General features: G+C 37.7%; 1 protein-coding gene across 13 annotated transcripts in view; it reads left to right on the forward strand.

Moving 5' to 3' along the window:
• The window catches only part of CRB1 (crumbs cell polarity complex component 1), a 276952-nt gene extending 252791 nt beyond the window's left edge, over nt 1-24161 (forward strand). For all 13 annotated transcript variants that reach the window (NR_047564.2, NR_047563.2, NM_001257965.2 and 10 more), the window contains one exon: nt 23370-24161. Coding sequence is in view for 11 of the 13 variants with exons in the window: in NM_001257965.2 (NP_001244894.1) it covers nt 23370-23585 (216 nt within the window). In the remaining 2 variants the exon portion in view is untranslated. The remainder of the gene's footprint in view (nt 1-23369) is intronic.

Raw genomic sequence — 25624 nt, forward strand, 5'->3', positions numbered from 1 at the left:
TAAAATACTTCAAATGGAGGAAAAATAAATAAAATAAGAAATTGTTCATAAATGTTATTTTGATGCATTATCAAGCACCAAAATTAGGTCTAATTTGGTTCACTAATCTCTTTTCCTTTCATCTTTTCATACATTATTAAGATTTCTGCTTCACCAAGTATAATTAATGTTCTTCATTTCTTAACGTGAGGTCATTGCTGCAGGCTTCACGGAAATCATGCAACATAGGTTTTTCCCGTCAGAACACATTTTTTCATGTGTTCTGAATAGAATGGAAACAGGCAACATACAGAGTGGAGCTCCTGGATTATAGATGCAACCAACTAAATTGGTTGGTTTGTTAAGCCATAGACAACTGTGGGAAATAACTAGGTTGATGTTTGCTACTGAGTTGACTAGCTAACCAAATCATGCAGCATTTTTGTTAGCTGTCAAATCAATCTCATCATCTACTAAAATCTCCCTAAAATGATCACTGCCTTGGTACGATACTGGACTTACGGAAACCGGTTTTTAAAATAATGCATTTATTCATTCATCCACCATTTATCAAAGGCCTTTTTCAGGCAAAGCTCTGAGCTAGGCATGGTAAGCAACTAAAATATACACAAAAAAGTGTGTTTGTGCTTTCAAAGAACTTAGGTAAGAAAATCAGGTACATAGCTTCGTACATAAGAGTTCTCTAATTTCGTGAATCATAAAGATATTTTTAATGTGTCTATAATGACATATGTTGGTTATGACAAGGTTGGCCATATTATTTCTTGTCCAATTTGGAGCATTTTCAAAGTGAAAGAGAGCAACACTATTAATAATTATTCTAGGACAGCAGCCTAAACTGATACTGTTCTGGGCAAACTAGGACATATCCTAGTTATTACCCACCCAGGAGAATGCATTATGTTTTACTTGATTCTCTTTAAAATGCCATTGACATCTATCACAGATCATTCAGAAATCAAGTCTACATGTTCCAAACCAATTAACTGACAAAAATAACTCAAACAATAAAGTTGACAGCATCGTGTTAGTTACCAATTTTCTTGAATTATTTTCCTTATTTTTTGCTCAAGGAGAACTTTTGGCATCAGTTCCATCTATGAAAAATAGAGCTGTCAACCAAACCGAAAACTGCCAGTATGCACCCAGATACCATGCCGTTGTCTTGTTTAACATGACATGAATTTAGTTTCTACTAATTTTTAATTTTAAGAATGGTGTGTATACATTTTTTTCTTTTATAACTTACATTGCCTTTAGGAAATGCAGTTGCACCTCATTGAATTCATTGCTAAATTTTTTCTTGTGAGAACAAATTGAATAGCATGTAGAAGACTGTAGGAATTTACTATCTGAACAATTTTAAATACCAAGATAATTGACTTGAAATTGGCAATTGCTTTAATATTGTTTCTACTTAAAACTTCCATGAATCATAATACTTATTCATGGATTATATGTGTATAATTTTCCTAAATTTCTTTAAATTAAAAATGATTTTTCATCCTAAAAGGTTATAAAGATCATGGCTGTTATATTTTTCTCACAATTGTAATTACTGAAACACAGGTTTGTTTCATGTAAACCGTAGAAATATTTTGGAGACTAATTATAGACAGAAAGGAAGCCACATATTAAATATAATATCCAAAACCAAATAGGCTATTTGCAATGAAAGTTATTTGATGTTTTGGAAATTATATTCATGATTATTTCATTGTCTATTTGAATGTATTTTAATTTAGTTTCACAAATAGCTACAAATATGTTACTTTTATCCACTTCCCTTAACATTTCTTTGATAATCCTATGCTGATAACAACAGTTATAAAGGAAAACTGAAGTACTTCTATATTTGTTATTTAAAGTGGGAAAATATGTATTAATGACTGATAAATGGCTGAAATTACTCTAGTTGATACCTAGAACTCAGGAAAAAAATTATATTTTGAAACCAGTTCATTTCCTTGACTTTTTCAGTAGCCAGCATCATCCTGAGTAAGTATATACTCAATAAATATTACCTAAGTGATTGAGATAATGAATGAGGTATTTTTGAGGTAATTTTGAAGTGTCAATTTCCAGCTTTGAGAATTTTGTTTTTGTGTGTGTGAATGTTTTTATTCATCCTGCCCCATAGTTACTGAAATTAAGATGAAAATGATAGTATATAGTAAGTACAAAATTGTCCCATTTCCCTTTCAAATTTACAGGATGAAAAAGGCAAGGCTTGACCATTAGTCACCACTTTGTTGATGACAGTGTCTTGGAGACAAGTGAGCCACACTGTCCATTAGGAAAACATTTCCATCTAAGAACCCAATGCACAGAAACCCCATTATTCATCTTGAATTAGAATTTGATATAAATTTACCCTTTCCCGAACCAATCCCAGATGCAGTCAAGATCCATAAAGACATATATTGCTTACCATGCCTAGCTCAGAGCTTTGCCTGAAAAAGGCCCTTGATAAATGGTGGATGAATGAATAAATGTATTATTTTAAAAACCGGTTTCTGTAAGTCCATAATCACATGGACACAGCCAAGGACACTCTCAAGGCAGTCCTGCAGGTTATACTCAATTTGCTTAAAAATCGTAGTGGTTTGAGAGGAGGAGTGGATTTTCTCTTCAAAGTAAGATAAGTATGGTTGAATTGTAGAAAATCATGTCCTTTTCTTCCATTTGCTCTAAAGCCAGTAAGAGTTGACCACTGCTGCAATATTGAAAAGACATTTTAAAGAATATGTTGCTCATTGTTCTTCGACCCTAAAACCCTCATTTCATTCTCCTTTGCCTAGTCAAATACATTTGTTCTCATAATGTTCCAGTAAAGATTTCCTTGCTTCCCTCCCCCACACAATCAGCATTTGGAGTGTCTTGTTGCCATACAATCCTAAGTACGCCTCTATCATAGCATCGTATAATAATACTAATAGTGGCTAATATTTGTCGTGTGCTTACTCTGAGCCCGAAACTATGCTCAGGTCATTATAAGCATTATTTTATTTATTATTCACAAAATCCCAAGAGTTAAGTAATATTATTTTCCTCATTTTATTGATGAGAACTCAAAATCAGAGAGAGGATAAGTATCTTTTCCAAGGCTCTCCAATTCAGAAGTTGGAGCCACGCTTTCAGATCCCGGAGCATCTGCATCTATTACCAATTAGCTATACTGCAAAAGCCTTCATTTGTCTGCCTCATCCTCCATCCTGAGAGCTATAGGAAGGTGGAGAAAATGTCTTGTTTATCTTTATAACTTCAGTACCTGGCAATCATTCCTGGCAGAGTAGTGCTTCACTATTTACCAAAGGACTAAATGAACGAATGAAAGAATTGTATGTGGTGTGCACAGAAGAAATTAGAACATTCCCAGGGCTGGCGGTAGGGTAGAAAAAGCTTCGTGCAGAAGATATTTGATCCAGCTCTTAAAGAATAAGCAAGCATTATCTCAGAAGAACAAAAAGCACATTTCTCCTTGACATGTTTTTTTGTATTGTTGATTGTTTATTTGCTACCAAAGTGTTAATTTTTAATTTAAACAGTTTTTCACTGGAGAAATTAGTTCACAAATAAGTTGTATACCTGTCAGCAAAGAGAGCTTAGAATGTCAGAATGCCCATGTTTTTATTGATAGTGTAAGTGCCACACTGTGTTTATAATTATCCCTTGCTTTTGTTGATTATTAGTTCTTCTTAACATAACTGCATTTTAAATTTGTGAGAGTAGAAAAGGGAAATTCTGGAAAACAACCATTAAAGCCATAACCTTCCTCAGGGATCACCGAACGAGGGTTATAGACAAAAGGGAAGAAAGGAAACTTAAGGCACTGGTCCCAAAAGATAATCAACGTCAACACACATTTTTGAAGGGGCCCTAAGCAATGAGAGCAGAAATATGCCAAGGAAAAATGGGTGGTACCAGAAGAAAAGGAGGATCCAGGAAAGAGCTAGTAGAGTTTACAAGTAGAAGGAGCCCTACAGCAGCCACAGGAGTTTAGGGACATGGATGAAGATTTCTGCATTTGCCCCAAAAGTGCCATTAAGAACACTAAAGCTTATCTTTTTTTTTACAAATCTAGTTGTCAGAAAAGCCTTACAACAAATTTTCTAAATGTTCTCTTCTTTCCAAATTCAGTTGAGCCTGAAGGGTTTATGCTGTCCACTCCCACCTATTCATTGCCAATTCATCTTCCCTATAAGCCACCTTCATCTGCAATAACTGCTCCCCACAGGATAAGCTGACATTCTGGGCTTCTAGGCAGGAAATCCAATGTTCTGTCCTTTCATAAGTCCCATGGCAATGCAGAGAGCTGCTGGAGTCAGTGCCTTCCACATATTCTCTACAGCTGAAAGAATGCAAGCATCTTCCCAAAGTCACCATTCCATCCACACGTTTGTTTCTTCAATACATCTGGCAATGGGTAGTACACAGGGAGAGAAGAAGGAGAGCAGGGAATCTGTAAAAGATAACATATAATTCTTATGACAATACTTTCAAGGAAACTATAATCTAGCTGTCAAGAAAAAAGAAACTACAAAACATCCTGAAAACAATTAATCCCTAATTTATGTTACTGAGTAAAAGCACAGTATAAATTCACAGAAGTCTGATCGCTATGAGCTATTGCAAGAGGGAAAGTTTTCATGGAGGATACGGAAATTAAAGTAGGCCATGACATATGAGAAAGATTATTTATAGAACAGAAAATGGGAGCACATTCAAGAGAGAAAAATGTCGCAAGTAAAGATGTGATAGTGGGAAAAAAAAGTTTGGATGGGATGAAGAACAGAGACTAGGTAGGCCTGATTTTAATAGATAAAGAATGTCAGGAAATAGTAGGATATAGAAGTGGATAAATTAAGAGAAAGATTAGATGATGGATTCCCTCGACCAAACTTTGGTAAAAATCCAGCCAGAGAAGAAAGAATCATTCTATAATTCTGTGATTTAGGTATATGCCATGTTTTCTTCTCAAATGTTTCCTACAGGTTTTGATTATGTATGGCTACAATTCACTTTCTGACTAGAAAGGACCTACTTTACTCTGTTTGGACTGCTGTAACAAAATGCCATTGACTGGGTAACTTTTAAACAACAGAAGGGTATTAGTACTGGAGGCTGGGAACTTCAAGACCAACTAACCAGCAGATTTAGTGTCTGGTGAGGAACCACCCATTTCCTGGTTCGTAAATGGTCTCTTCTCTCTGTGTCCTCACATGACAAAGGAACAAGGCAGTTCTCCAGGACCTCTTTTATAAGGTCACCAATCCCATTCATGAAGGCTCTACCCTCATGACCTAATTGGCCCCATCTTCTAATACGGTGACATTGGCGATTAGGTTTCAGTGAATGAAATCTGGGAGGACATAAACATTCAGACCATGGCAGGATCTTACACCAAAATGGTAGCATCTTTCCTTCATGATGGATTTATCAATAAAAACTCCTGAATTATATTCTCAGACGAATTCTTTCATTTTGGAACTCAAAGCAATACAAACTGTTTATTCTTCCAGAATTTTTTAAAATATATAATGTTATGTAGACAGAAAGTTTTTCCTGAGCAGATTTTTTTGGGAGTTTGGTTTTTGAAACTAGCTTATTAAATCCACAAAATCTTCAGTCCAATTTTTGATTTCTGCTAATTAGAAGTTTTCACTAGGCATAGTTTTGTTAGTAAGTCTTGCTTTAAGCCCCCCTCTTTTTTTTTTTTTTTTTTTTTTACTTCACTTGAATCTTTCTAAAGTTCTTAATTGAGGATTTTAATTGAAGGTTTTTAGACCTATGATGCTCTCCTATTTCTCTCAAAGGGCCAAAGACATGTTTTGTTCTGGGGAGGTTCAGATATGATCAGATTAAGTCTTCTTTCACTAAAAATTGAGCAAATTCCCTGGATCAGCATCACTAAAAAAGAGTCTCTGGGGCAATAGACTGATGTTATTACTCACCATTTTAATGTACATAAAATTAAGGAACTATATTTACTCACTTCAGAAAATTTCTAAGTTGTGCAGATCAATATAAAAGGTGCCTTATACTGAGCAGTGGTTGGTTTGAACATTTCTGTGATTAGTGCAATCTATTTTCAGAGCTAAGGAAGCCAGAAGATTAAAAAAGCAGACCCTTCACTACCTGAGGGGAGTTAACAGTCTAGTGCACAAGAAAGCTTGCATCAGATGACCAGGATTCTTACGGTGCCTCTTTCAGCCAAGGGTTGTGCCTTCTCTGATATTAGGCCATAATGATCACATGCACTCAACATGCAATGCCTCATTTAGTTCTAACCATCATAGTACTGTTATTTCCACTTTACAGATGCTGAAACGAAGGCCCAAAGAAGTGAAGTGACTTACTTGGGGTCACACAGTTCATTTAACCTCAAATCCTCATTTTTTTCTCCAGTGTATAATTTTGGTTTTCTGTTTCCTAGTTTGTGAAGTGCAACATTTGGAGACTGTTTTTAAGCAGACTGTCCTACCAGAAAATTCTAGAAGTCTTAATATTTCTTAATTGTAAAATAAGTGTTTTAGAAGAGATGCCATTACACATAGTTTACAAAAACACAAGTTTATCATGGGACCAACTGTGTCCAGGGAACTCTGGAATTTCTTAAAGAACAGGTCTAGGGGCAAATATGGAATGTAAATGGGAAAGAAATTGTAAATTTTGCTCTACGGCCCTAATAGGATCCAGAATCTATTTGTTTTTACCATTAGGTCCTGTGAACACTAAAGATAATCACAGCTGGCAATATGTAAATTATCCATATTTGCAGCTTCTTGAAGTTAAAGGTTGTGTGTGTTTGGCTGGTATAACTGCATTGCCACTTAATTACCAATATAAATGCTCTCAAATTATAGATACCAATGTAAGCCCCTCAACTTAAAGATTTATTTGCAGAACTCTAAGTAATGACATTGAGCTTCACATTCACATTGTGAGGTGAGCTGAAGAGGATCAGCTTCTGTGTGTAATTGTGCATGATTAGTCTTCTGCCTTGAAACAGAAAAGGAGTATTTCATAGGATTCCCACCATGGCTGGGGAGGACAGGCCGTGGCTGGGGAAGACAGAGGACTACTCTGATGGAGAAAATGCACACCTTTGTAAAGAGGCACTCTGGGATGGAAAGAGCCTGGGGTGGGTTATGAGAGCCATGAAGGTGATGCACATGTGCATAAAGGGAAAGCATTTGAGTGGCTGCCTCTTCAAATTAAATATTCTGTGACAGAAGAGTAGGCTGCATCCTGTGTGTTAGCTCTCATGGCACTGCAAGCTAGAGAGACGTATAACAAGAACCATCATCACTGGTCAATTTCCTTTTAAAGACCTGTCCACTGATTTACTCATTCCATTGATCAGACATTGCAATTCACAAGCTCCTATTACATTCTCTTGGTTAAAAGTGAGGTCCAGATTGGGCTCGACACATGAATCTGTAGAGCTTTCCCCTCTACCTGGCAAACAATCCAAGTCGCACCTGGATATATCAGACCTTACTCATCATTTATGTCCAGGAGTGCTGCATTTGTTTTACAATGCCATCTAATTTGTCAGCTCAGTTCAAAAAAATTTCAGCACCTGCAAAACATCATGAACTCTGAAGTTGACAGGAAAAGATGGCATGTTGTTTGAATAGTTTTCTCAAGATAGAAATGTATGAGTCTTGAAATTGTACATAAAGACAAAAGCACAGCATGCCATGAATTGCAGGAACTCATCGCGGAGGACATGCCTATTAGAATTTATGCTACACAAATGCAAAAGTATGTTCTTATAAATTAAATAGTTTGACTTTTCCACATTTTATACACATGTAATGTTGTCGTTCTTGATTTTGTACATGATAGTGTAGAATAAGCTTTTTGCCTTAGACTTTTTATAGGCAGAAATGTGCCACTGCAATGAAAAAACTTAGGAGCATTTTATGGATGACTGTATTACCATCCTCATCAATTGGCATTTATTGAATTCAGGCACCATAAATAATACTGATATATCTTACATATAGTGGAATATGTGTGTATGTTTTAATAAATGATTTAAATTATTTTCAGGCCATTTTTACATTAATCTATAAGGAAATATAAGCTCCTTTAAAATGGTTTTGAAACTTAGTGTCTCAAAAGGAGTACAAAAACAACTCCGAAGTTCCCCTATGCTTCTGGAAACATTAAATCCTCTTGGCAATGGGTGACATGTGAAAGGACTCCCTCAGTTTGCCCTGAAATACTCCCTTTGGTCCTAAAAACATTACGCACTCCTTTAGGGAGTTCGAGGCAAAGGAGCCAGTGTGTTTTGAGGGACAAGGTATAAATGCTACGGCATCCAAGAGGATTAGCTGCCTTTTCTGGAAAATTAGGAAATTGATGTATAATTTTTAATTACACATAAATTTCAAACTTTCCATCAAAGTCAAATTGTGCTGATGTAGTCAAACGTAATCTAAGCATTGATTCAAGAACCTGCTGATGGAGTGAAAATACATGGAAACTTGTTAACAGGAATTACAATTATCTACATCTCAGCAAATAACGCCAGAGTGTCATGTAATATGCTGAGCTCAGGCAGCCTATAGCCAATGCAGATCTTTTTTTTTTTTCTTCACCATTAATATTTACAGTTGGAAGCAAAACATGGCTGCAATCTAAGTGCTGCACCTAACAAGGAAGTTGTTGGCTTGATACCTTGTTTCCTGACACTGTGAAGCACTGAAACAGCTACCTTCTTAATCATCGCCTGATGATATTGTGTTGAAACTGGAGGGGAGCACATGGCTGTTTTATAAGAGCCACAACCCTGGGAGATTTTCTTCATTGTTTAGTTGTTTTACTTCTTGATAGACATACTGGGATGTTAAAAGCATAGGACTGAAAATTGTGCATTATGGAGTTTTTTCTTTGTTCTCCTGCTGAATTTTTCTAGGTCTATGCAGACACTGTTTGTAAAGACAGTTTACCTCCTGACACCTGCTGTGTGCTAGGCACCTTCCTAGAACTGAAAACAAAACCCTTCCACCCATCAGCCTACTTTATTGTAGTTATTCTCACATGCAAAGTCCAAAAAAAACAAAACACACACACACTAAGCAAACATCAGTAATCAGAGAAGCATGATTGGTTACATAAGCACTGTGCATAGTAAGAGACCTGAAATATAAAATAACCATTTTTACTCTTCTTTCAGTCTGCAGATATGCCAACTAAGGGTAATACAGTTGAAATTATGGGGTAGATTTGGGGTTACATTTATATAGTGCTCTATCTAAGGATGCAGCTGTGCGTAATTAAACAAGCCCTGATAATTTGGATTCTAAGCTGCTTACTAGCTGTGTGACTTTGGACAAATTGCTTAAATCATCTTTTAAATACATGCAATAATCTCTATATCATTAGATTGTGGTGAAAATTAAGAGATGACATCTAAAATGCCAGAAAATATTAAATCCTCAGCTTGTAGTTACTTTTTCCATATCCCTATGTTCCACCTTTTAGTTCTAACGTATTTTACAGGTAATCCCAGTGTAGCGAATGAACCAGATACAGGAAAGATTAACTACCTGGATCGAATGCTCAAAGAATCAAAGACCTAGTTGTCATCTTTGTCATAGAATTAATCTATTTACTCTGGGTTCCTGAAACTAGTAAAAGAACCCTAACAAATAGCAGCAAACGAATTTTAGTGAAAGAGAACAATGAAACATTTAATAGAAGACCAACTTCTAAGAACTACTTAATAAAAATGCCTTTTAATATTGAGGTGATTTCTGCTCAGGTCCACCCCACAAAGAGGACCTGGACTGAGTTGAGCTGTGTTGCAACTCTTTCTCGCTTGTCAAAGTTGTAGCTCCTCCTCGTGTTGCTAAATCACAGCAGATGGCTTCCTTTTACACCCAACGCCGTCAGTGGAATGTAAATGCGTCTCCTCACAACACTGAAAATACTGAGGCTGTGTGTTTAATCTGTGCTGTACAAGCCGAATGACCCTGAAAAGAACATGAGCACTGAGCACGTTTGGAGAATTGGCATCAATCCTTGGAAACAGGATTGGGGAGGATTTTTCAGGCCTAGTGACTAATCATGGTTTTCTTCCTGAGGCTCCTAACTCAGCCATATCCCTGAGGACAAGCAATCTAAATGGTGATTGAATAGAAAAGTTATAGACCCAAGGGAAGTATTTTTTTTTTTAAAGGGGCAGTGGGAGTGTTGTTTGGGGTATGGGAAAAAGTAGAGAGAGTTGCGCTGCACTGCAAAATTGAAGAGGCTTAGTTTATAGTTTGAACATTCAATTCTATGTCTCCTTGGGAGTTAAAAAAATAAAATTTCCCTGTTTCAGATTATTTAAGTCACTAAGAGGAATACTTTCTCTAAGCAATTACTTCAAAATTCAGAAATAATGTAAATAATTCATGTCAGTATGATACCAAGTATGAGACAAGAATTATCCAGAAAAAAAACTATATTTTGAGAGTATGAATAGCAAATTATAGAAATAAAATATAATCAAGCACATTAGCCAGGTTATCTCAGCTTCTTTCTTAAATAGATCTCCAAGCTGCTTAGAAAACAGAGAACCTGATCTTCATTTTATTAAAACAGTCTCCAAAAATTAACCAGTGGCTAAAGGAGAAGAGAACTTGTCATGCAATTTGTCTTTTGAGCCTTTTGTAGCAAAGGAACAGAGTTCTTGTCACTTCTGCTTCCCACCTTTCCTTGGGCAAGGGTCTCAAACTATTATTTCAAAAAAAGATGTGGTCATTGTGAATATCATAATTACCCTATGTACTGTATATAACACAGACTTAGAGATCCCAAAGCATAAAATAACCACTTTAGCTTTATTGTATGATCTAATTTTATAGCAGGTTATTAAATTCTGTGCTAAATTTATACATAGAGATGGAGAAATTTTAGTTCAGCAGTATTTTTAAACTAATAGGAAAATGCTGTTAGACTTTATTTTTGTCCCCTCCAAGAATAAATGCTTTAGATTCCTCAATACAAATGAAAACCTAGCCTTTGCTTCTGTTGTGCTTTTGCGTATTTAGGTGAACTGTTAGTAAAGTCATACATAAGGTTTAGGGTTTGTTTTTATTTTTTTTTTAATCCTGCTAACTTTAAAACCTATAGACTTTTACCAAATGGCTTATGAAAGCCTGACTTCTGAAACAAACCTTTAGTTCTAAAACTAAATACTATTTCAATAAATCCTCATAATATGAAGGTTTCTATCTTTGCTGGTTGTCAGGTTGCTTGGTGTTTTAAGTTGCTTTGAGTTCATAGATTTTAGAAATGTTCACTTGGGATCTGACCAGCCTCTCAGCTTCACAGGATCCATCTCTGTTTAGACATACCAAGTCTCAAACTATTTTGAAGAGAAAAGGCTGTGCAGTGAAAGGCTACCCATTAAAGCATGATGTGTGTCTTTCATCTTCCACTAGGCAGAGTTCGAAACTGAAAGTCTGATAATTTGATGTAAACTGACAGTGACAATAGAAATGGCTACTTTTGAGATTATTTAAGAGAAGGTGCAAGGTATAGACATTCATCAATGAAACACTAAAGGAAAGGTTTTTATTTCTGTGTTTGCTTTTTAAAATAAGAATAGAGTAAATGGCACAATAGATTATATAAACAAGGACTTCAATGACAAGCTGTCAAAGTTAAAATAATATATTTTACATGGGTGACTTGACGCCACACTTTATCACTTACATGAGGGGAAGCCAATTTGAGTCTGGTCAATAAAACACAACCTCCAAAGTTGGGCCTGGGGCAAAGCTGACATAGTGTGGCAGAGCCTGGTGGTTTGGCATCCACTTCTGCTGGGACACAGCAGGAGTTGGCACTGCTACCATCTGGGGTATGTCCTACATTTAAGCCCTATTTGATTAATCAACACTTATGCAGGTTGAAGGGACGATGCATTGGCTCTGCTCTGAGGCAGTTCAGGCTCTAGTAATTTAATGCAGGTCTGAGGCATAAATGGGACTAGTGATTCAAAAACTGGATTTACTGCAGTCTCACAACTGTTGAAAATTAAAGTACATGTGCTGCAAGTTAGGGGTTACTAGGGTATCTCATTATAGGAGGCTATTTTTTTTCAGAGGTTTGAATCTTTGCTGAATTACTGAGAGACTTATTCGAATGTAGGCTTGGACCAAATAATTTTCTGATAAATTGGCCATAAATCCTCAGTAAAATAAGCTTGGTGTTCTCAGCATATCTATTGGCTTTTTGATCATTTTTATGGCTTTCCTTTTGCTGGTCAAATTATCCTTATATGCTCCTAAAGCTCCTCTGACATGGATTAAGTCAACACAAACCAATAGACCTTCATTACTTTGGCAACTGGTTTTGATTTGGGGGCAATAAATATGATGACACAGACTAGATTACCTCTGCTGAAGGGATATGTGATAAGCCGTAGGGATGTCAGGGATCCTGCATTATTTTTTCTGCGTAATGTGAGAATGAATTAATAGCAGCTTTTAACTAGCTGAAGAAAGTTGGAAAGAAGAAAGAAATCTGAATGAAAAGAGAGCCAAGGTACGGCTTATAGGTTAAGAGCAGTGACACCAGTCGATCATAAGAAAGTCCATGAACACCCAATGTGTGTCCAACACCGTGCAAGGCACAGGCAGGCAGGGTCAGGGCCAAATATGTGAGGAAACTAACATGTGATGTGATCCATATCTTAGTGTCTGGGAGAGGAGATAAGACCATCAATGAGAGCAAGATTTATTGTGCAATAAAAGTGTAGAGCAGAGAGAAATAAGCAAGGCCTGGTATAGCCAAGGAAGGGGTAATGGAAGAAGCAAGATCTGCAAATATGGGGGTTGGAGGAACTATTTTCCTTATAAAAATTGTTTGTTAAATTATTACTTTTCCAACATTTTGCTTGGAAAAAAATGCAAACCTAAAGAGAATTGAAAAAAAGTTACAACTAATGCGTGTAACTCTTTAACCCAGATTACCAACTTTTTAACATTTTGATACCTTTGCTTTATCTCTGTCCATATACATGTATTTTTTTTTTGCTCAGTAATTAGAAAGTAGATTGCAGATGTCATGACACTTTACCACTAAGTATTTTAGTATCTCTTAAGAAAGAAGGCTTCCTTCTATAACCACAATGCTAGTATCACACTCAAGAAATTTAACATCTTATATACTATCCATATTCAGACTTTCTAATTGTCCCAATAATGTCCCTTATAGATTTTTTAAATCCAGGATACAATCAATTGCATTTAATCATCATTTGGCATGTCTTTTTAGTATCTTTTTTTATCTCAAACTGTCCCCTGCCCTTTTAATTCTTTTGCCACTGAATATTCTCTTGCTTTTGGAATTCTGTATAAAATCAATTGGCATATTTATCCCTTGTCTTCTAAAATTATTTAGTATGGCAGAAATGGGATATGAAGAAACTCCAATCTTTTTCTACACTACAAAATGCAAGTTAGTAGACGACCCAGCAGATACATAAAAAGGGAACTCAAATAATGAAGCTACTATGTTGAAAATAAGTGGTATAAGTCATCAGCCTAGGAAAGGACCAGTAGTGAGTACACATGAAATTGCTCCCTCCATTCTGGCCCTCCTGAGAGACAGGAAATCAGGTTTCTTGACATGGTATCTAGATGGGTTATATGCCCAGTTTTGGTAAACACTTTCCTGGCACATGAGCTGTCTGCCACTTCCTATTCTAGTTCTTCTCCATTTGTGGCTCTGCATAAGGAGTTATCCTTCTGTAAAGTTTCCCAGGCATGCAGGAAATATCCCAGAACCACAGGCATGCTTTTTGTTCTCCTTAAAGCAATTGGATCATGGTGATTCCTTCAGCCTAAAACATACTTCTTTACCTCATTCTCCCAGCAACTTCCTTTGAGAAACTTAGCGATCCCATGAGGCACCTTCCTTTCTCCTTGTTTTTCCTTCATGTTCACCTCTAAACTAACACCACCCATATGGAACTGTAATTGCTTTATATAGCTGCCCCACCCCCAGGCACTATCACTAAACAGTGAATTATTTTAAAGATAATGGTTATGCCTTTTACTTCCATATCTCCAGGATCTAATATGCTGTCTGAAAGTTTGAAGGCATTCGGTAATAATTTGTTGAGTAAGTGAATGAAAGCATGAAAAAATGAATGAATGAATTTCACCACCAACAAACTTTCTGGGTTCTATAGAACTCTTCTTATGACTGAGAAGAACTTAGTAATGTGTTAAACAGGGCAATCAGTGTTACAAGTGTGTGAGTCGATAATAATTGATCAGCCACTTGGGCAAAGCACTGCATTTTATATTATTGGGAAGTTCCAGAGTAACAAATAGTCATGCCTTACAGTCCTGAAGGAAGGGATAGATTTGGCTTAACTCACATTGAACAACAGCTACACATTCATGCGCATATGTTATGCCAGGCAGGCCTAGCTACAGCTCTTCTCAAAAATGTGCTGGCCCTGGACATTGCTGTGTAAGAGTTACAGGTGAGTGGAGTCACATGGGCTTCTCTGGAGAGGCTTTGCAAAGTACAGAGAAAGTTTGAATTATCTTTTAAAAAGAGGAGAGGCATGATTGAATAAACGGCATGTTTCAGGATAGAGAAGTGGTTTGGAGGAACAGGTGATTCCTGTTTGAAAAGTGGCAGATAGAGAGAGTTGCTCTGCTGGAACCCCCCGGCCCCGGCACTAGCTAGGCTGCAACTGGTGATGACCCTCATGAGGAAATGGGACTCATTAATAAAGAGCCTCAACTTAAAAATTGTTGGGTGGAGTGGCGCACGCCTGTAATCCTAGCACTTTGGGAAGCCAAGGTGGGCGGATAGCTTGAGCCCGGGAGGTCAAGTCTGCAGTGAGCCAAGATCATGCCACTGCACTCCAGCCTGAGCGACAGAGTGAGACCCTGTCTCAAAATAAATAAATAAATAAAATCAAAATTGGCAATTTATATTTGATATGGACAGGTTTGATATAGTTCGTTCCCACGACTTCCTAGTCACGTAAGTACGGTCATTTTTTTCTGTGGGGCTGGATGGAGGATGTAGATTCTGGAGGAAATAAAAGTGTGTAGAGAATAGATGAATTACCTAGGGAGAGGATAATTGGGCCAGGATTGTGACTGTGGGAATGCAGAGAGAGAAATTAGAACAGAATTGTAGGGGAATTGGTTACAAATGGGTCTGGGCATAGAGTAATGAAGAGATGAAAAGGATGTGCTTTGAAAACTACAAGAGTTTGCAGCTCATAGCACTGAATGAGTTACACGCTCTGAATCTTTAGTTAGCAACCACTGTTTTCTAAAATGAAATAAAGAGAAGAAAAGAAAAAAAAGGGAGAGAAGCATGAATGTCCACACAGCTTTTCTGAGACCAAAATAGGCCAAGCTAATGTCCAGTAGTTCACCTAACGGAAACAAAAAGAATAATTCACATGTAGCAAATGATAGCTGGCTCCTGCTTATTTTTTACCTTTATTTTTGTTTTTAATCCTCACTAGCAGCTCCTGATTGTATCACGTGATAACGTTTCCATTCTAGATACGAGGGGCAGGAAAAGGTAAAAACAAACACATTGTTTGTTGATTTCACAAAAAGGAATAATGCTCGTGTCTGGTTGGCTCCTTGGTCATATTATCCCTTATCTGCCACTCCAATTCCTGCCAGCAGCACCTCAGAGATGGCACCTCCCCTTGCTGCTTCCGTTCCTCTGCAGGACACATGGTGAGGTTTTTATTACGTAAAAATCCCAAGAGGAAGAAGCTCTGTGTTGATAAAGTCAATAGCTCATTGCATGCTGCTAGACAAGCTCTAACTTTTAATTCTCTTCTGCCAAGTGGCAGTCTGCAATGTCTTTGTGGAACAGACACTGTTCCAGGTGCCAGGGAAACAATTGGGAACAAGGAAGGCAAATATCTGCACCTGAATGGGGCTTCCATTACAGCAGGATACACACAAAAACTCTATAGACTTCACATGGTACTGAATGCTTGAGAGAATGAAAGCTGATTGCAATCAAAGAGGATGGTCAGGGAAGGTCTCCCCAAGAAGATGACAGCAAATAGTAACACCTACCTAGTTGAGTTATTAGGAGAATTAAAGCATTTTCTGTGTTAAAAACATCTGGCAAACCACTGACACAGGGTCAGAAGAAATGGCTAGCCATTATCTTTCAACAATAAATTTACAAAGCATAATGAAATATAACTGAGTTTGAGCTGCTGGGATTTGGTTCTTGTATGAGATGAGGCGATAATTTTTATTCACAAGGCCATGTGCTCCAAAGAAAACAATGCTATCACTTATACCACCTGCTTATGGAGAGAAAAATATGAAAGCAATGTCCTCAAACCTCTAGCTGCATCTATGCTTCTGCCTAAAATCTGGTATCCTAAGTAGGAGAGAGGTTGTGAATTATCAGGGCTTTTTCTTGATACTTATTTTTACAGATCTAATGCCTATGATGGCTCCTGCCAGGGACTGTTTGGCCCACCACTCTACTTCTAGCTAGCATTGTGGTTACACAGTTTGTAGAATGCAGAAATAAACTTGTCTATTTATGACCAATGTCACAGCACATGTCAAATCTCAGTGTCACTGGGCCCTTTCCCTAAAGGTCTACAAGAGGAAATATGTCATGCTTGAGTTAATGTTGAGGTTGATTGTTTAACCTGGAACTAGAATTCCAAACATATATCCTTATGTTACATCAGTTTTTTTTTTCTCATTTATCTCCAATGTGTCCACAGGAAATTTCCACAGTAGCTGTTCTAGCCTCTTCCTTCCTATCATAGCTATACCATTCCTTCTGGTATGGAAATCATATCAGAAGGTTCCCAGGAAGCGTCTTCCAGGCTGCGGTTCCCTGGACGGTCCCATCTCAGCTCAGTTTTTCCTCCCCCAGCTATTGTGATGACCCCCAATCAGCATAGTTATAAGAAATTGTAATCACATGGTGAGAATTAATGAGAAAGCCTTTATATTGGATTCCTTCTTTTTCCAGCAAGAGACTTCAAACCCTGCTAACTGCAGTCTTACAGCCCTTGGAGGGGGCCGTAGCTCACCATTGTTCTGTTCTCGGCAAACCCAGTGGGAGCTTATCTGTTTTCTGGGAGAAGCAGAGCAGCCAGATGAAGAGATGGGGCAGTGCCAAGGAGAAAATGATACTCAGCATGCAGTGCAGATCCCTCCCTCCCCTGTTCCCTGCTGTCGGCCTGCTGCTCAGAGGGAAAGGTGCCTGGTGGCTCTCTGATCGCCATCCTTTCTTCACATTCCTAAGCCTTTTATTTGGTGGAAGGAGCATCTGGCTGGATAGCCTCCTCCTTATCCCAGGACACTTCCCGAGTTCTCTCTTTTGGCTTTTTAATACCTTATTTTCCCCTTATGACTGTAAAGTGGACAGTGTATTTATGGTTGAAAATTGGCTGCTATAGCAATATTAATTTTAAAAACAGAGTTTTGGCACATATTCAATATTACTATGGAAACGGCCGCTTCTAACAATTCACTCATAAGATATAGTTCAAGGACTGAGGTCTGTGTGGGAGGTTTTTACCATCCACCAAATTGACGATCTACTTGTCAGAATAGCAATTCACAAGAACTGCTCTCCAAATTTGTATTCCTTTTTTAAAAAAGTTAGTGGATGAGCATTCGAGAGATGCCTTTATTTTACTTTATATATGTAGATGGAAGATAAATATTCCAACTGGCATGTTAAAGACACAATGTGTTTAAAATAATTTTTCCATGAATCACTAATTCTCTTAATTGCACATAATGGTCTTACTTGGTTATTTGATGTAACACTAAATACACACACAGACACAACTAGTTTCAGAAACGCACATATTGAAGCTGGAATGTAACCTGTAATCAATTGACACATTCAAACATTTTAACTTTCCATCTTAAACTGTCTCCACATATTTCTATGTAACTGATATACATACAACTGAATTCCAGGAAAGACTTGAAGTAATTCATTCCAGTGTGGTGTTTTCCAGGAGCCAGTTTTTAACCCCAAATATTGCCTTCATTTTTAACCGCAAACATACTTCTGTTGGTTTTATAAAACGCAGGCATGAGAGAAAGGACCTCTGGGGGCTGATGGTTGCAGCATTAGTTCTTGAATTCCCTCACTTTAAGTCAAAGCTTTCATGTTTGCACCTCTGTTCACTTGGGAATGTGAGGTTACATTTTCCAAAAAATCCTGCAATGTTTCATATTTTTTCAGAGCTCCTTCTGATATGTTTATTGTTTTCACATTATTTCAAATGCTGTCATCGGCCCTAAATATCATGAAAGATAGGTCCTGATGCTGACAACAGAATTTGTCTCATTTCTCTTATTTCCAGCTCATTTTGTGTTTTCCAAATTAGATTAACTCTCAAGCAATTAGTAACAGTTGATTCTGATAGGCCCAGGTTGCACACCCTTCCACCAGCGCCACATCAGCACAGTGAGAGTGATAACCCGAAGCGCCTCCTTGTTCACAAGGATGGCCCTGAGTGGATGGTAGGAGTTCTGAAATCCAAACAGGATCAAGAAAATCAATCAGGGGAAGGTCACTTGGGGTAATAAACAAGAGTAATCACATGGATCAAAGTTCTTGTCCTGTGCGTATGTCCTATGAGAAGCTCTTTATCCACTGAATGCTGTAATTCTTAGAACAATTCTAAGACGTGGGAATTGTTGTCCCCATTTATTATACTTATCCTACATATACTGTGGGAAAATGGTATATGAGCAGAGCTCTTAACCACTTCATTACACAGCCAGGAGTGGCAGAGGTAGGGCTGCATCTCAGGCCTTGAATTTGCTCTTTCATTCTTATGACATTTCTGAGAGAAGTGGGAAAACAGTATATGTAGGCTAAGTATACTAAACAAGTATCGAAATTGGATTCAAATCCCTTTCTGTCTGCTTAGCAAGTGCATGCTGTTTCCAGTTCCCCTTCAGAAGAAACAAGATGAAATTTCTTTTCTGGGATTAAGAGGAAAACACACATTAACCTATGGTGCTAGCACATTCCAGCATACAATAATCAGGATGGAAGTTTCAAAATAGGTTTTGACAGTCTCACCATAGAATACCATGGAATAACCTTGCTTGGGTCCTATATAGGCCAGAACCCAGTTAATGTTTCAGAATAAATTCTCTTTGAGGAGAACAAATGAAACATCTATTTATTTTATTCTGCAGATATGGAGTTCAAAGTAATCACAGTTTAAATTAATCATACATACAATATACATTTTTTAAAAGATGTTAATATGATAACTGACTGCAGATAGCAGCATGTCATTTTTCAGAAAAAAAAAAAACAATTCTACATTATATTTATAATTAATTTGGGGTATGTCTTTTCAGGAAAAGGTTATTCAAAAGCTCAGTGTTAGAGCACAACCAATCCAAATAGGGCTGGCCTTAAATCTCGTCCTGCACCTGGAGGCCTCCATCATCAGTTCATGTGTCCCAGCAGTTTCAATTATCAAAAGATCCATCCTAGTGCCGTATATTTTAAGCACAGTTGAAGAATAGTGGAGCAAAAAAAAAAAAGCCTTTCAACCATGGGAATTTAAAAGCAAAGGGCCCTGAAGAGGCGATTTCAAAACCCTACTCATTCAGTTCACTCTAAAGCTTAATGACATGCCCTATTTGATACAGTTAGGGGAACTCTTTCATCAAAAACTTTATATGAGGCTGGGAATTGCAATATTAGGTTTGTAGGTTGGCTCCCTTGGTCATACTGCAACGTCCTGAGGGAATTCTAGTTTATCTTTTAAAAGCAAATAGAATTAGGGAAAATGATAAATGGTATACTAATGACTACTAATATGTTTGTGTATTTGAGAACTTCCTATAGGCTGTGCTTTTTGTATTTTACATTCTTTGTGTTTTATTTGGTCCCATCCTTTGAAGTAGATGTTAATATTCCATTTTATAAATGATGAAAATGAGTTCCTAAGAGGTGAAATAACTTGCTGTGTTTGCACAAGTAATTGGCAGAGCCACGAATCAAACCCAGGTCTCTGCCTCTGAAGACTGACCTCTTAACCACTTCATTACACAGCCAGGACTGGCAGAGGTGGGGCTGGATCCCAGGCCTTGAATTTGCTCTTTTATTTTTATCACATTTTTAAGAACAGCAAAGCAACTGTAGATGAAGGACTTGGTTCCTCAGGAGTCCCAAAATATGTGAAACAGGTCAGCCCTCTGGTTCAACCTGAATTGAGGTACTAACAAGGACTCGGGACCCACCCCCATGAGTCCTTCTTCCTCTCCTGTTGCAGCATAGCAGATGAGAGGATCTGGGAAGCCTCAGTTTACCCAATGTAATCAATCTCAGGCTGAATGAGAAGAGAAGGGCCTGGAAAAGTTTAGAAAACAGAGACAAACCAAGTGATTTTTCTCTTGTGTGCATGGGTGTGGGCACTCCCAACTCTCTCATCCAGGAGAACCGCCATTTACTCCAACAGATGACATGATTTACCAGACAGATTAAGATGAAATCAACATCTAAGAACAAGAGTGTGCATTTTCTAAAGATCATTGGATAGTACTAAGGTGTTTTTCTGGTCAGATTTCATCTGCTCTTCTGTGTCCCAGCCTTTTGACCTTTCAAGCCCAACTCTGCGGTTCTGTTCCTCTTTCCCAGGCCAGAGTTATCTTTATTGATAAAACATATAATTATTTACAAAAGCATGGCCACACAGTATGGATGGAGAGTTTGCCCTCTAGTTGACATAAACTATTTTTTCTAAAAAACTACTGAACTCTATGAAATTCTATATGCTTTACTTCAAAAGCTCCAGTCATTGTCATAACCCAGAATTTTTCACAGTAATATGAAGGAGAGATGGAGTAGTAAACATATTTCTAATGATCTAATAGTACTATATTCTTGAATGTCTCCAAGGCACCTAAGACCAGCTTTTCCCAGCCTGACCTCATATTCTTCCTACACAAACCTCATGTGAACCCAGTTTTTCCTCATGTGAGCCCAATTTCAATGACTGACATCCCAATCCACCTGCTCATCTAATGTGGTATCAACAGCCATCTTCATCCTTCCTCTCTTCCCCACTACCCCACACAATCTGACATGGGGTGATGCTGAATTTACCTCAGAAATCCCTGTCAAACATTCTTTCCCTTCAATTCTCACTCCTTTGCTAAATTTAGACCTAGGTAATCTCTTATCATGACTAATAAGATAAACTAACTTCTCTGCCTCCAATTTCTTCCCCACCTACACTATCTCCCATCCTCCACCCTGTTACCAGAGCTTATCAAGTCATGCTTTTGCTTAAATATCTTCAGTGGCTCCTCACTGACTACAGGACAAAGTCTGAGTTTAGTGTGGCATTCACATTTCTTAACAAGACCCTTCTACTTTATAGTATTTTCTCTCACCAACTCTTTTCACCCTTTCCCAATTCAAACATACACATTCATGGTCAATGTATTGGTCAATATAGTATTTTCTCTCACCAACTCTTTTCACCCTTTCCCAATTCAAACATACACATTCGGTCACACTGGGTTTCTTACTCTTTCCCTAAATTCTAAGGACTTTTATGTCTTCTTGCGTTTTATGTTTTGTTTTTGTTTTTGTTTTGAGACAGAGTTTTGCTCTATCACCCAGGGTGGAGTGCAGTAGCCTGATCTCAGCTTACATCAACCTCCGCATCTCGGGTTCAAGCGATTCTTCTGCCTCAGCCTCCCAAGTCGTTGGGATTACAGGCACCCACCACCATGCCCTGCTAATTTTTGTATATTTAGTAGAGATAGGGTTTCACCATGTTGGCCAGGCTGGTCTCGAACTCCTGACCTCAGGTGATCTGCCCACCTCAGCTTCCGAAAGTGCTGGGATTACAGATATGAGCCACCGAGATTGTCTCATTAAAGTGGAATTTCCTCCTTGAAGTACTTGAGCATCCACTAATCCTTCAAAGGACAATCATGTCTCATTCCAATCTTGCTCCACCTACTCCTCAACACAATTAATTCATCACATGGTCATAACACCTATCTGTAATGTATTATGATTATTTGTGTGTGTGTGTGTGTGTGTGTGTGTGTGTGTGTGCGCGTCTTCCTCTTCTCCTATCTCCAGAATTTGAGCTCCAGATTCCAAACTTTTATTTGTCTTTGTATTTTCATTTCCTAGCTCAGTAAATGCTCATAGTAAATGGTCAATAAGTATTGCTGATTGAATGCACAAACTAATGAACCACATTTGAGCAAGGATTATTGTGAGTAGATCCCAGACAATACTATGAAGCTGTTAAAATATTATATTAATTGTATAATAATTTAAACCAAGACACAGGGGACAATAAAAAGAGACTAAGGATAGAAAAGATATTTAAACTCTCTAGGATGTTAAACACAGATTTCATTTGTAATAGATTGGTTTGGTAACGTGGGGATGAGTCCTAGAGAAAGCTAAATAAGAAGGTAAAAGAGTTTACTACTGATTTACTCTGATAGAAATATGTCTTTGAAAAAATCAGTTTAAAAATTCAAACAGTAACTCCTTTCTGTCTTTAATATTTCTGTGCAACTCAGTCACAGTTTCATGTTAGCCATTGTTAAACTGATAAGAGCTCAGGTTTGCTAAAAAGTGTTTGCAAACACATCGGAATTAACATTAATCAAACCACTGTGTAAAAATAACAACTTTGAGAGCCCAGGATCCAGCTCCCTTTGACAGGGCTCTACCTGCCGTTGTCTGCTGCTAGATACTTGGATTCAGCGTTAAGCACATGTGCCTTTACAACCATTCAATTGCCATGTTGAATCCGAATCAGAGTGATTCCTTTGGAAACCCCCTGCGAGACCAGCGTATCACAGTCCCTCCTCTGTGTCAAGAATTTTTCCCACAAGACCCAACTAATTTAATTTCTTTCCTTTCCCAAAGCAACAAAACAAAACTGTAAAATAACCATTTCTTCAGTCCCAAATTAGAACTTTTGGCAAGGGAGGAAAGAGATCATGAATAATACGTGGCTATAGATCTAGAATCATTTTATAAATATAAGTGTGGGCTCATCTTTTGCCTTTGTTGCTACATGAATCATCTCAGTCACTGAGATTAAGAGACTGAGCAAATATAGTAGGTATTTCATGCCATATTTTCTGACTGTAGACTTTAGATTCTAGATATATGATTATTTGTAAATGATTTGAGAATAAGAAAATCTGACTTTCTTTTAATACCTTGGTCTTTTTACAGTACTGAGTGGTACCAGCTTGCTCTGGTTGGTCTTCATTCCTGAGTAGTTCCATTGTCCTGAATATTTATTTGCCTTTGCTATAGAATTCGCATCCCAATGATTTCAATCTTTCCAGTTGGCAGATGACTTGATCTCCGACATTTTCACCACTATTGGCTCAGTGACTGTCGCCTTGTTACTGATCCTCTTGCTGGCCATTGTTGCTTCTGTTGTCACCTCCAACAAAAGGGCAACTCAGGGAACCTACAGCCCCAGCCGTCAGGAGAAGGAGGGCTCCCGAGTGGAAATGTGGAACTTGATGCCACCCCCTGCAATGGAGAGACTGATTTAGGAGCATTGTGTCCCTTCGAGATGGGGATCCACACACTGTGAATGTGATGACTGTACTTCAGGTATCTCTGACATACCTGACAATGTTAATCTGCAACTGGGATTACACTGGAACTACAGGAATGATTCCTTTGACCACCTTAAAAACTTTCACAGTGGTTCCGCTCGACACCATTGTTTTATTATATTATATCAGCCAATTGCAAAAAAAGTCTGTGCCAGTAATTTCAGCCTTATAATTAGCAAAAACATCTTCCAGAGAATAAAGTCTTCTGTGGCTTTAGTGGCTATCACTGAAACTCTTTCCTCTTTTCAACCTGGGAACAAATTTTAGTTTTCATTTTAGGTTTCTGTACTTTCTGTAGTTTCTGTGTAAACTGCCATATGTTTACATGGAAACTACAGGAAAAAATTGGCTACATTTCTCACTTCTCCTATCATGTGGTCAAAGTTATTGTTGTATACCAGCGATGGGATGTATACTTTTGTCCTTCATTCATGGATTCAGAGAAAGCTCTGGGAATGACTTATGGTCCAAAAAAGTGACCCAATGGCAACAAATAAAAATTGAAATGCAGTTGTTCTCCTTTCTGAGTACTTTTTGCATTTTTGTGACATTATGTGTGACAAAAGTAACCTCTAGGAACATTTGAAGAACCTGCTTATGAATTAGACCTTTTACCTAAATCATTTCAAGTTGGTTACATTTTCAAATTATTACTCTTTGTAAAGGGTTGGTTAAGGCAAAACGCTTCCTAGATAGAAATCAAAACGGGGAAAACTCAGATTCTCAAGTTCGAAAAATCGAGTTCTTTTCTTCCAACTGCTTTTAGGTAAATCAGTGCCAAACAGTGACATTGTTTAAAGGTAAGAACTCCAAAGTTAAATGTATGCACTTTACGGAGTATGTGTTTTAAGACTATGGGATATTTGGAGAAAATGCTGGGGTTTCTATTCTTATATTTTCTTCTACAAAGCATCTGATTATATTTTTATATGTGCTTTGAAATATATGAAACATGCTACTGCTGTAGAATATAAATAAAACTTAAGAATAGATGCATATATATTCTGGGTATACACTCAACATGTCTAATGACATGAATTTTTAAATCTGGTCTAGAAGAACCCATCCATCTCAATTACTCAAGGACATCATTTCAGCAAGTGCCCTTCTCTTCTACATCATCAGTTTACCCATTGTCCTGGGGCATCCCTATCAGCACCAACATGCTGTCATATTTCCTATCATATAAAATTCTCTCCTGTGGCCCTCATCTCACTCCAATATCTACCCCATTCCTCAACACCCCTTTTCAGCAAAACATCTACAGAGGAGTTTTCTGTATTTTTGGTTTCCCTTTTCTTGTCTCTCATCCTCTCTGGAACTTAAACTAATTTGGCTTTTCTCATCACCACTCCATGACCTCCACATGGTCAAACACAATGTCCAGTCCTCAGTCCTCAGCTTACCTGACCTCTCCTAAGCATTTGAAACAATTGTCACTCCTCTTGAAATATTTTCCACACAATGGGACACCATTTCATCTTGATTTTCTTCTTACCTCACTGTCCATCCCCTCTCCATCTCTTTTGATAGTTTCCCCTCATTCCTTAAACTCTGCTTTATTTTTTTCCATACTGTTTATCACCACCTGAGAGACTGCGTATTTTTTTTTGTTGTTGTTGTTCTCAATTTTCTCTATCTAGAATTTAGGTTATATGAGGATAAGAACTATTTTTTTTTTTGACTCCAGTATCTCTCACCTGGAACAGGCCTAACCCATAGTGAAAACACAATAAATATTTTCTGGATAAATAAACAAATAATGAATGAATGGTGCTCAAATTTGTACCTGCCACCAGAGAAATCCCAAAGTGCCCAAGATTTGTGTGGGCTGTCATTGGATGCTCTGGTCATGAAACTATCATGGCTCTGTAGCCTATCTAATGTCTTACTCAATCTCAGGCTTTTTTATCCATATCTAATATTGCTTTAAGTGTAAGTTTAAGAAAAAGCATGTCTCCAGTGTCTACATG

The sequence above is a fragment of the Homo sapiens genome, chromosome 1 (assembly GCF_000001405.40).
Source record: "Homo sapiens chromosome 1, GRCh38.p14 Primary Assembly".
NCBI classification, from domain to species: Eukaryota; Metazoa; Chordata; class Mammalia; order Primates; family Hominidae; genus Homo; species Homo sapiens.